A 13,246-nucleotide genomic window follows, 5' to 3' on the forward strand; every position below is an offset into this window, starting at 1 on the left:
TCAATCTCACCAAAATTGCAAGGAACGCTATGAAATAATGAGGAAACATTCTGGTGACTGTTGTTTTCTAATAAAGGTCTGTAATTTGTTTTTGCAGACCTCTTTCCTGGGCTGGTTCATGCTTTTCCCAATGTTTCTATAAATAAAATATTTCAAATATTGAAAGACAATAAATCTCAATCATGAATTCTATTATCAGGCAAAAGTATCCTTCAAATATAGGGAAGATAAAGACATTCTCACATGAGGGAAAACTGAAGTATTTGTCACTAACTGGCAAACACTTAAAGAACGGCTAAAGGAAAATCATCAAACAGAAAAGAATGATGAAAAAGCAAATCTTGGAGCATCAAAAAGGAAGAAAAAACAATGAAAGAAGAAGAAATATGCATATGGAGAAACCGGATCATTCATACATAATTGGCGAGAATGTAAAATGATACAGTCTCTCTGGAATACTATTTGGCAGTTTCTTATAACACTAAACATGCAATTACTATACAACCAAGCCTTTGCACTCTTGGACATTTATCCAAGAGAAATCAAAACTTCTGTTTATACAAAAATCTGTACATCAGTGGTCATCGCAACTTTACTTGTAATAGTCAAAAACTAGAAACAGCCAAGATATCTTCCAATGGGTGAATGAATAAGCCAACTGTGAAACATCCATACCATGGAATAGTGTCCACAATAAAAATTAAGGACCACTCATACATCCAGTCAGTCAGATGACTGTTCAGGGAATTATGTGCTGAGGCAGGTGTGGTTATTAAAGAGCAAGATGGGCCGGGCGTGGTGGCTCATGCCTGTAATCCCAGCACTTTAGGAGGCCAAGGCAGGTGGATCACTTGGTGCCAGGAGTTGGAGGCCAGCCTGGCCAACATGGTGAAACCCCATCTCTACAAAAACTCCAAAATTAAAAACAAAAACAAAAACAAAAAACAAAAAACAAAACAGCCAAAGTTGGGTGCAGTGGCTCATGCCTGTAATCCCAGCACTTTGGGAGGCCGAAGTGGGCAGATCACTTGAGGCCAGGAGTTCAAGACCAGCCTGCCCAACACAGTGAAACCCCATCTCTACCAAAAAATACAAAAATTAGCTCGGCGTGGTGTCACATGCCTGTAATCCCAGCTACTTAGGAGGCTGAGGCACGAGAATCGCTTGAACCCAAGAGGTGGAGGTTGCTGTGAGCCAAGACTGCGCCACTGCACTCCAGCCTGGGCGACAGACAGAGATTTTTGAGACTCTGTCTCACAAAAAGAAAAGAAAAGAAAAGAAAAGAAAAGAAAAAGAGTAAAATGAGACATCTTGGTAATCATGGAAATGTGTATCTTGGTCATGGTGGTGGGAATCAAACCTACTCGTGACAAAACTAGGTAGAACTAAATGCACACAAACAAATTAATACAATTAAGTGGGAGATCTCAATAAGATGTGTGGATAATATCGATGTCAATATTCTGGTTGTGATGTTCTGTTACAGTTTTGCAAGATGCTATTGTTGGGAAGAATAGGTAAAGTGGAAGGGGTATTTCTCTGCATTATTTCTTACAACTACCTATATATCTTAAATGACCACAAAATTAAAAGTTTAGTTTAAAAAAACCTACCACTAGTTTTACATTAAGGACGTTGATGGATGTAGATTAGACAGTGCTACTAATAACATGTATCATTTCAAACTCACCAAACTTGGGAGGAATGGAGAGCGATAAAGAGGCGTTACCTTGGCTACGGCCCCTTCCTGATGAAGGTGGGTAATTCACTGTCTGAGTATTGTTTTTTACGTTAGTTCCTGCTGTTTCTGGCATTTCTGCAACTCTTTCAAGTACTGAAAGAAAAGAACTCTCAACTATGAATTTTATACTGGGTGAAATTGTCCCTCAGGAAAGAAGGGAAAATAAAAACATCCTCACAAAATGGAAAATTAAACGAATTTGTCCCTCGCAGATTTACCCTTAAAAAAATGGCTATACGAAAACCTTCAAACAGAAAAGATACTATAAGAGAAGAAATCTTGGAGTATCAGGAAGGAAGAAAGAATGATGGAAAGATCAGAAATACAGATGTGGAGAAATTGGATCACTCATACATTGCTGTTGGAAATAAACAATAGTACAGCCTCTCTAGGAAACTGTTTGGCAGTTTCTTATAAAACTAAACATGCTAGTACCATAAGACTCAGCAATTGTTCTCTTGGCATTCATGACAGAGAAATGAAAACTTATATTTTCCCAAAAACCAGTACACAGTACATGAATGTTCAAAGTGGCTTTACTTGCATTATCCAAAAATTGAAAGAAAAAACCAGATGTCCTTCAATAGGTGAATGGTTTAAAAAAAAAAAAACTGTTCCTATCTGTACCATGGAAAGGAAGGAACTATTCATCAATAGAAAGAAAGAAACTACTGAGAAATGAAAACTTACATTTATACAAAAATGTGTACATGACAATTCATAGCGGCTTTACACCCAATAGACAAAAAATAAAAATAAAATAAAAACACAAAAAACCCACCAGACGTCCTTCAGCAGGTGAATGGTTGAAGAAAACATAGTATATCCAGACATGCAATACTATTCAGCAATAGGAATAAACTATTAATAGAAAAAACAACCTGGACGAGTCTCTAAGCTGAGTGAAAAAAAATCCAATTCCAAATATGATTCCACTTATACAACAATTGAAAGAGATAAAATTACAGAGATAAAGAAGAGATCAGTGGAAGCCAGGTGTTAGGGATGGGTCATGGAGTGTTAGGGAAGGGTGACCTGAGAGAGTTGGTGTGGTTATCAAAGGTAACACAACAGTGCCTCATGCTGATGGAAATGATCTCTACCTTGACTGTGGTGGTGGGCACACAAACCTACTTGTGGAATAAAGCTGCATAGTACTAAACACACACACACACACACACACACACACACACACAAATAAATACAAGTAAAATGGGACATCTCTATAAGATCTGTGGCTTGTATAAATGTGAATATGCTGGTTGTAATATTTGTTGTTTTTTGCTAAATATAATTATTGGGGGAAATTAGGTAAAGGGTAGTCAGGATTTTTCTGTCTTCTTTCTTATACCTGTGTATGATTTCTGAACTACCTCAATATGAAAAGTTTAATTTGTAAAAAGCTACCACTAAGAATTAATATTAAGAATGTTGATGAATCTAGATGAGAGGCCTGCTTGTGATATCCATTATTTCAAACTCACCAAAATTAGAAGTGATGGGAAGATATGAAGAGGCTGGATATGGGGCACTCGTATTTCCCGATAAAGCTGGGTAATACACTGTCTGAGAGTTATTTTCCACGTTGGTTTCTGTTGTTCCTGGCATTTCAGTAAGTATAATTTTCTCAGCTATTGGGAAAAAAAAAGAATGCTCAATCATAAATTCTACATGAGGTAAAACTATCCTTCTGGAAAAAAGGTAAAGACATTTCTCGAACGAAAGAAAACTAAAAAAATCTGTCCCTAGCCGACTTATCCATATAAAAGGTTAAAGGAAAATCTCCAGGCCTGGTGCAGTGGCTCATGCCTACAATCCCAATACTTTGGGAGGCGGAGACAAGTGGATTGCCTGAGCCCAGAAGTTCGAGACCAGCCTGGACAACATGAGACCCCACCTCTACAAAAAAATTTAAAAACTAGCCAGGAGTGATAGCAAGCACCTGTAGTCCTAGCTGAGTCAGGAGGCTGAGGGAGGGTCACCTGAGCCCGGGAAATGGAGGCTGCAGTGAGCCATGATTGCACCACTGCACTCCAGCCTGGATGACAGAGTGAGACAAAAGAAGAACGAAAGAACGAAAGAGACAGAGGAAGGGAGGGAGGGAGGGAGGGAGGGAGGGAAGGAAATGTTAAAACAGAAAGGGTATGATGAAAGAAATCCTGGAGCATCAGGAAGGAAGAAAGACTGATAGAAAGACCACAATATAGGCCGGGAGCAGTGGCTCCACCTGTAATCCCAACACTTTGGGAGGCCGAGGTGGGCGGATCCCCTGAGGTCAGGAGTTCAAGACCAGCCTAGCCAACATGGCGAAACCCCGTTTCTACTAAAAATACAAAAATTTGCCGGGTGTGGTGGTGGGTGCCTGTAATCCCAGCTACTTGGGAGGCTGAGGCAAGAGAACTGCTTGAACCTGGGAGGTAGAGGTTGCAGTAAGCCCAGATCACACCACTGCACTCCAGCCTGGATGACAGAGCGAGACTGTCTCAATTGAAAAAAAAAAAAGGAAAGAAGAGAAAAAAGAAAGATAAGAAATATAAATATGGAGAAACTGGATCACCCATACATGTAAAGCCTTTCTGGAAAAATGTTTGGCAGTTTCTTATAAAACTAAACATGCTAGTACCATAAGACCCAGCAATTGTGCTCTTGACATTCATGACAGACAAATGAAAACTTATATTTATCCAAAAACCAGTATAGGAATGTTCAGAGCAGTTTAGTCCTAATACCAAAGAGTGGGAGGGGGGAAATAATGGCCTTCAATTGGTAAATGGTTAAAAACAACTATTGTATATCCAAACCATGGAAGATTATCAGAAAAAAAAGAGGAACAACTGATACACACAACAACCTGTATAAGCCTTTAGGGAATCATACTGACTGAAAAAAAAAAAAAAAAACCTACATGCCATAAGATTCCCTTTATATTACACTCTTAAAGTGACAAAATTATAGAGGCCAGCGTTTGTCAGAGGTTAGGGAACAGTCAATGGGGAAGAAAAGGGTGACCTGAGAGAGGTGGGGGTGGTTATCAAAGATGAGGCAGCCTGGTGGTGATGGAAATGTTCTATGTCTTGACTGTGGTGGTGAGAATCAAACCTATTCGTGGAAGAAAACTTGCACAGAAAGAAATACAGATACACCCACAGATTATTATAAGTAAAACTGGGGCTATCTCAGTTATATCTGTGTATTGTATCAATGTCAATATCCTGGTTGTGTTAATTTACTATAGTTTTGTAAGATGATATTGCTGGTAGAAAAGGGTAAAGCATAAAGGGGATCATTTCTATTATTTCTTACAAATACATGTGAATCTAAAATTATTTCAAAATAAAAATGGCTGGGCACGGTGGCTCACGCCTATAATCCCAGCACTTTGGGAGGCCAAGGAGGGTAGATCACCTAAGGTCAGGCGTTTGAGACCAGCCTGGCCAACATGGTGAAACCCCGTCCCTACTAAAAATACAAAAATTAGCCAGGCATGGTGGCATGCCCTATAGTTCCAGCTACTTGGGAGGCTGAGGCAGGAGAATCTCTTGAACCCAGGAGGCAGAGGTTGCAGTGAGCCAAGACCACACCACTGCACTCCAGCCTGGGTGACAGAGTGAGACTCCGCCTCAAAAAAATAAAAATAAAAGTTTAATTTCAAAAACGAGCTACTACTAGCTTGCATTAAGGATGTTGATCGATCCGGATTCAATAGTGTCACTTGTAATACAGCATCTGAAATTCACCAAAATTAGGTGTGAGGCCGGCAGATGAAGAGGAAGAACATGGGCCGCTGCCATTTCCCGAAGAAATTGGGTAATTCATTGTCTGAGGGTTGTTTTCCAGCCTGGTTTCTGCAATTCTCGGCATACGTACAGAAAGAACATTTTTCAAGTGCTTAAGAACTCTCAACCGTGAATTTATACATAGTGAAATTCTCCTTGAGTAATGATATGGTTTGGCTGTGTCCCCACCCAAATCTCAACTTGAATTGTATCTCCCAGAATTCCCGCATGTTGTGGGAGGGACCTAGGGGGAGGTAACTGAATCATGGGGGCCAGTCTTTCCCATGCTATTCTTGTGATAGTGAATAACTCTCATGAGATAGAAGCAAAAGCAGAAACCCCTGACAAAAACAAGAAATGGGGAAAGGATTCCCTATTTAACAAATGGTGCTGGGAAAACTGGCTAGCCATATGTAGAAAGCTGAAACTGGATCCCTTCCTTACACCTTATACAAAAATTAATTCAAGATGGCGTAAAGACTTAAACGTTAGACCTAAAACCATAAAAACCCTAGAAGAAAACCTAGGCATTACCATTCAGGACATAGGCATGGGCAAGGACTTCATGTCTAAAACACCAAAAGCAATGGCAACAAAAGACAAAATTGACAAATGGGATCTAATCAAACTAAAGAGCTTCTGCACAGCAAAAGAAACTACCATCAGAGTGAACAGGCAACCTACAGAATGGGAGAAAATTTTCGCAACCTACTCATCTGACAAAGGGCTAATATCCAGAATCTACAATGAACTCAAACAAATTTACAAGAAAAAAACAAACAACCCCATCAAAAAGTAGGCAAAGGATATGAACAGACACTTCTCAAAAGAAGACATTTATGCAGCCAACAGACAACATGAAAAAATGCTCATCATCACTGGCCATCAGAGAAATGCAAATCAAAACCACAATGAGATACCATCTCACACCAGTTAGAATGGCAATCATTAAAAAGTCAGGAAACAACAGGTGCTGGAGAGGATGTGGAGAAATAAACACTTTTACACTGGTGGTGGGACTGGAAACTAGTTCAACCCTTGTGGAAGTCAGGGTGGCGATTCCTCAGGGATTTAGAACTAGAAATACCATTTGACCCAGCCATCCCATTACTGGGTATATACCCAAAGGACTATAAATCATGCTGCTATAAAGACACATGCACACTTATGTTTATCGTGGCACTATTCACAATAGCAAAGACTTGGAACCAACCCAAATGTCCAACAATGATAGACTGGATTAAGAAAATGTGGCACATATACACCATGGAATACTATGCAGCCATAAAAAATGATGAGTTCATGTCCTTTGTAGGGACATGGATGAAATTGGAAATCATCATTCTCAGTAAACTATCACAAGGACAAAAAACCAAACGCCGGATGTTCTCACTCATAGATGGGAATTGAACAATGAGAACACATGGACACAGGAAGGGGAACATCACACTCTGGGGACTGTTGTGGGGTGGGGGGAGGGGGGAGGGATAGCATCAGGAGATATACCTAATGCTAAATGACGAGTTAATGGGTGCAGCACACCAGCATGGCACATGTATACATATGTAACTAACCTGCACATTGTGCACATGTACCCTAAAACTTAAAGTATAATAATAATAAATAAATAAAAAGGTTACACAGCATTTAGTTGCATTTAAGTAATGATACTCAAATAATGAAATTCTGGCAAACAAAGTGAGATTGCTGACTATCAGTAGTTAAGACAGGGCAAGATGAGAGGCAAGGGAGATTGGGGGAGGTGGCTATGGTTTTAAAAGAACAATATGAAGGATCTTTGTAGTGATGATGGAAATGTTCTGTATTGTAACTAATAGTGGACATGTAAACTGACTCATGATTAAATTTCATAGAACTAAATACACACACAGAGATGTGGATTTAATCAATGCCAATATCCTGGATGCAGGATATAGTTCTTTAAGATGTTATCATTGAGGAAAATGGGTAAAGTATAAATGGGATCTCTGTACAATTTCTTACAATTACATGTGAATTCAAAATTATCTCAAAATAAAAAGCCTAGTTTTTTTTTTTGTTTTTAAAGAGCTACCACTGACTTGCATTCAGGATATTGATGGAAAATAAACTCTCAGCCACAAATTCTATGCCCAGCAAAACTATGTTCCTTGAAGAACATAAGGAAAATAAAGACATTTTCACATGCAGGAACACTAAAGAAACCTGAAAGAAAGGCTGAAGAAAAGTATTCAAACAGAAAGGAATGGATGAAAAAAGAAAATATAGAGCATCCAGAAGGAAGAACAATAGAAATAACAGAAATATGAATGTGGAGAAACTGGATCACTCATGCATTGCTGGTGGAAATGGAAGATAATACAGACTCTCTGGAAAACTATTTGGCAGTTTCTTATAAAACTAAACATGCTAGTACCATAAGGCTCAGCAATTACACTCTTGGCATTCATGACAGAGAAATGAAAACTTATATTTACAGAAAAACCTGTTCATGACTGTTCATAGTGGCTTCACTCCTAATATCCAAAAACTGGAAAAAAAAACAATTTGATGCCTTTTCAATGGGTGAATGGCTAAACAAACTGTGGCATAGCCATACTATGAAATATAAATCAAAAATAAAAAGGAGGGTAGGCTGGGTGTGGTGGCTCATGCCTGTAGTCTCAGCACTTTGGGAGGCCGTGGCAGGCAGGCCACCTGAGGTCAGGAGTTTGAGACCAGCCTGGCCAACATGGTGAAACCCTGTCTCTACCAAAAATACAAAAATTAGCTGGGCGTGGTGGCACACACTTGTAATCCTAGCTATTCAGGAGGCTGAGGCATGAGAATTGCTTGAACCCGGGAGGCAGAAGTTGCAGTAAGCCAAGATCGCGCCACTGCATTCCAGCCTGGGCAACAGAGTAAGACTCTGTCTCAAAAAAAAAAAAAAAAAAAAGAAGAAAAGAAAGGAGGGAACTCTTGATACATGCAACAAGCTGGGTGAGTTTTCAGATAACTATACTGAGTGAAAAACACCAATACCCCAAAATTACATACTGTAACATTCCCTTAATATAACATTCTTGAAGTGACAAAATTATAAACAGAGAACAGATCAGTAGTTACCAGGTGTTAGGGATGGGGCAGGTTGGAAGGAAAGGATGACATGAGGAAAGTGAATGTGATTATCAAAGGGCAAGATGAGGCATCATTGCAGTGATAGAAACGTTCTATGTCTTCACTGGAGGTAGACATTAAAACTACTTGTGATAAAACTGCAAAGAACTAAATACACACACACAAATTAATTACAAGTAAACCTGGGAACATCTCAGTAAGATCTGTGGAGTGTATCAATGCCACTACCTTGGATGTGATATTTTACTATAGTTTTAAAGATGTCATCCTTTGGGGGAAATGGCTAAAGCATAAACAGTTCTCTGCATTATTTCTTACAACTGTGTGTGAATCTAAAATTATCTCAAACCGAAAAGTTTAGTTTGAAAAGAGTCACACTAGCTGACATTAAAAATACTGGTGAATCAGGCTGGGCGCAGTGGCTCACGCCTATAATCCCAGCACTTTGGGAGGCAGAGGCGGACAGATCACCCGAGGTTGAGAGTTGGAGACCAGCCTGACCAACATGGAGAAACCTCGTCTCTACTAAAAATACAAAAAAATTAGCCAGGCGTGGTGGTGCATGCCTATAATCCCAGCTACTTGGGAGGCTGAGGTAGGAGAATCACTTGAACCCAGGAGGCGGAGGTTGCAGTGAGCCGAGATCGCACCATTGTACTCCAGCCTGGGCAACAAGAGCAAAACTCCATCTCAAAAAAAAAAAAAAAAAAAAACAAAAAAAAAAAAACTGGTGGATCAAGGTTAAATAATGCTATTTGCAATATGTATCATTTCTTTTTTATGTATTTATGTATTTATTTATTTTGAGATGGAGTTTCGCTCTTGTTGCCCAGGCTGGAGTTAAGTGGCATGATCCCAGCTCACTGCAACCTCTGCCTCTGGGTTCAAGTGATTCTCCTGCCTCGGCCTCCGGAGTAGCTGGGATTACAGGTGCCCGCCACCACACCCGGCTAATTTTTTGTATTTTTAGTAGAGACGGGTTTTCACCATGTTGGTCAGGCTGGTCTCAAACTTCTGATGTCAGGTGATGCACCCGCCTCACCCTCCCAAAGTGCTGGGATTACAAGTGTGAGCCACCACGCCCAGCATTATGTATCATTTCAAACTCACCAAAATAGGGAGGGATGAAGACAGATAAAGAGGCAGTATTTTGGCCATTGTAATTTCCCATTAAAGTTGGATAATTCGCTGTCTCAGTGCTGTTTTTACTGCTGTTTGCTGGTCTTTCTGGCATTTCTGTAAATAAAAAGTTTTCAAGAGCTGTAATACAAGAACTTCACCCACAAATTCTATACAAAGCAAAATTATCCTTCAAGAAAGAAAGAGAAACAGACATTCACACACAAAGGAAAACAAAAAGAATTTGTCCCCAGCAGACTTACCCTTAAAGAAAGGTTAAAGAAAACTCCTCAATCAAAAAAAGAAGATGATGAAAGAAGGAATCTTGGAGCATCAGGAAGAAAGAACAAAAGAAAGAGCAGAAATATGCATTTAGAGAAAGTAGATCACCCATATATAGCTGGCAAGAATGTCAGATGATACAGCGCCCCTGGAAAATAGTTAGGCAGTTTCTCATAAAACTAAACATGCATATGTCCAAACTCATTACATTGGGTATAATAAATATGTGCAGTTTTTTACTTATCAATTACTATGGTTTGAAGGTATCCTTTCCAAAATTCAGGTGTTGCCAATGTGATCGTATTAAGAAATGGGACCTTTAAGATGATTAAGCTATGAGGGCTCCTCCCTCATGAATGGGATGGAGGCCCTTATAAAAGAGGCTTCACACGGCATTTTGAAATCTTGTCCTTCTACCTTCTGCCATGTGAGGACACAGTGCTCCTCTCTTGCAGAGGATGCAGCCCTCACCACACAAACCGGCTGGCACCTTGCTTTTGAACTTCCCAGCCTCTGGAGCTGTGAGAAACTACATTTCTGTTCTTTTTCAATCACCCAGTCTATGGTATTTTGTTATAGTAACACAAACAGACCAAGACATTAATATCTCAATAAAGATTTGTTTTTTTAAAAAAACCTAAACATGCAATTAATATATAACCAGCAGTTGCACTCTTGGGTAATCATGTCAGAGAAATGAAAACTTCCATTTACACAAAAACTTGTATATGAATTTTCATAGCAGCCTTACTACTAATAGTCAAAAACTGGAAAAATAATTTCCTTCAATAGATGAATGGTTAAACCATGGCACACCTATACCATGGAATAGTACTTGGCAATAAAGGAACTACTGAAACACACAACTTGGTTGAGTCTCCAGGGGATTATGTTGAGTAAAAAAAAGCCAGTACCAAAAGGTTACATACTATATGCATCCAATTATATAACAATATTGAAGTGACAAAATTATAGAGATGGAGAAGAGATCACACTTGCCAAAGGTTAGGAATAGGTAAGTGGGGGAAGGAAAAGGAGGATGGGTTTGGTTATAGAAAGGCAAGACAAGCAAACTTTCTGGTGATAGAACGGTTCTGTATCTTGACTATGGTAGGAACATACAAACTTTCTCATCTGATAAAATTGTTTTAAAAAAAAAAGCCGAAAGTCAGACACACAAATGAATACAAACTACAGTCTTATGAGATGTTACCACTGGGGAAAATTGGGGAAAGGGTATCTCTCTGTATTATTTCTTACAACTACATATGAATCTATAATGGCTTCAAGATAAAACTTTTAATTTAAAAAATAACTAACACTAATTTGCATGAAGGGTGTTTTAAAATCTAGATTGAAGAATGCTATCTGTAATATGTGTCATTTCAAACTCACCCAAATTGGGATGGAAGCAGAAAGATGACAAGGCTCTACCTGGGCCCACATTTTCATTTTCTGGTAGAGCAGAGTAATTCACCACACCAGGGTTATTTGCCAGACTGGATTCTCTTCGTGACAGAACTGCCATAGGTACTGCTGTAGTAGCATTGGCAAATGAGATGACAGCATTGGTACTTTCAGCACCTCCACTGATAAAGTTCCATGGCATACCGAAACAAGGAAATGAGCCACCTTGTGCGACATACTGCTGTAATGAACTTGAGGAGACAATTCTGGGATATGATAAACTCTCACTGAGGTCTGCTTCCTGCAGTTCATGACATGCTGCTGACTCAAGAGATGTTACAGCAGGGCTGGCCCAGGCATGGGTTTCCTGCCTTTCCGCTGGTGGTGATATGCTAGACTGTACCTATCCAGGGTAAGAGAACAGAATGAGTAAAGTTATTTTCTTCGGTTCCTAGACTTCAATTTCTCCATGAGACATACAATCAAAACTTTTTTGTGTAAATCCAGACGACCTCTAAAATGACACCAACCCAGTATAAGTCAACTGTAACTTAAAATGAGGCTTAAAAAGTTTATTTAAAAAAATAAGCATTCCTATGTATTTTCCTTGCAACATCATTTTCCATTGTTAAGGATAAATGCTGTACTTTGATTATATGATTTTTATTCTTCTTCAACCCTACATTTTATACATGATATCTACTAACATAAAAATACTCAGTGTTGTAATCTGTCAGACCTAAACTTCAGCATTCTTCCAAGGGAATTGTAGTCCCCCATCTGCTATTAAAGTAAGTAGAGAAAAGCCTTGCTAATCTCAGAGTTACTAGTTCTCTATCAATTCTAACTGATTTGTGTCTTTAGGAGCTAGAGGTTTATCAAAGTTGTAAAAATGTTTTTGTAACACACATTTCATCAAAGGTGGTTGCTCCCAAGAACATTGCACTTCTGAAACAGCTCCACAAAGACGGTCAACCTGCATAGTGGTATTTTCAATAAGATCTTCTAAATTCTATTATATTTAAAAAATAGTAGCTCATATTTCAAAAGAAAAATAACATATGTGAAAATGCCATTAAGTCAAATGTTAACTGCTAGACACAACAAAAGTTCTCAAGCCATCAGAAATGTCTTGCTCCTATTCGAGGCCTGGCTGTAGGTGACACAGAGCCAAGAGGCTGAGCTCAGGAGCCCCAACATCCCCTCTGCTGCTCTACCCCGTGCAGGCACTGAGGATGCTCTAATGCCAGCAAATGAAAGCGCCACAATGCCTCTACACCAGCACATTGATGATGAAGACGCTGCACATCAAGGAAGGTGCTATTTTAGGAAAGAAATCCTCAAATCTGCTAAAAGACCAAATACTCACTTTATAATGTTCATATGTAACATATATGTTCATATATGTACAAATATGAAGTCTATATTATATACAGACAGTGAGTGTTCCACTCCAGAAAGAACATTGAGCCAAATATAACAGATGTGACTTTTGGCTTCAAACATTTTAAAATCATGCAGTCAACAACTAATCTTACAAAACCATTGAGTACACATCCCCTACGTGCCAATCAAGCATATATGACTGATAAAAATCTGAGAATTCTTCTTGAAATACACAGAAACTTTGGGCAAAAAAAAAATACGCTTAAACAAAGGGCCAGAAACATTTCCTCATTCATTCATTCAACTAAACCTTTATTGACGGCCTTCCACCTGGCAGAACTACTTTGCTATGTGTTGGAAACATGGACTGAAAGAAAGCTCCTAGCCAGGCACGGTGGCTCATGCCTGTAATCCCAGC

General features: G+C 39.2%; 1 protein-coding gene across 5 annotated transcripts in view; it reads right to left on the reverse strand.

The window, feature by feature from the left end:
- The window catches only part of BEND2 (BEN domain containing 2), a 57,956-nt gene that overhangs the window by 29,140 nt on the left and 15,570 nt on the right, over positions 1 to 13,246 (reverse strand). For 3 of the 5 annotated variants that reach the window (NM_153346.5, XM_011545447.2, XM_017029267.2), the window contains exons 5-7: positions 11,431 to 11,845; positions 9,745 to 9,870; positions 3,226 to 3,372 (exon numbers count right to left, since the gene is read on the reverse strand). In NM_153346.5, the coding sequence (NP_699177.2) occupies positions 3,226 to 3,372; positions 9,745 to 9,870; positions 11,431 to 11,845 (688 nt within the window). The remainder of the gene's footprint in view (positions 1 to 3,225; positions 3,373 to 9,744; positions 9,871 to 11,430; positions 11,846 to 13,246) is intronic. The other 2 variants (XM_017029266.2, NM_001184767.2) reach the window with 2 other exon arrangements.

Source organism: Homo sapiens, chromosome X (assembly GCF_000001405.40).
Source record: "Homo sapiens chromosome X, GRCh38.p14 Primary Assembly".
NCBI lineage: Eukaryota > Metazoa > Chordata > Mammalia > Primates > Hominidae > Homo > Homo sapiens.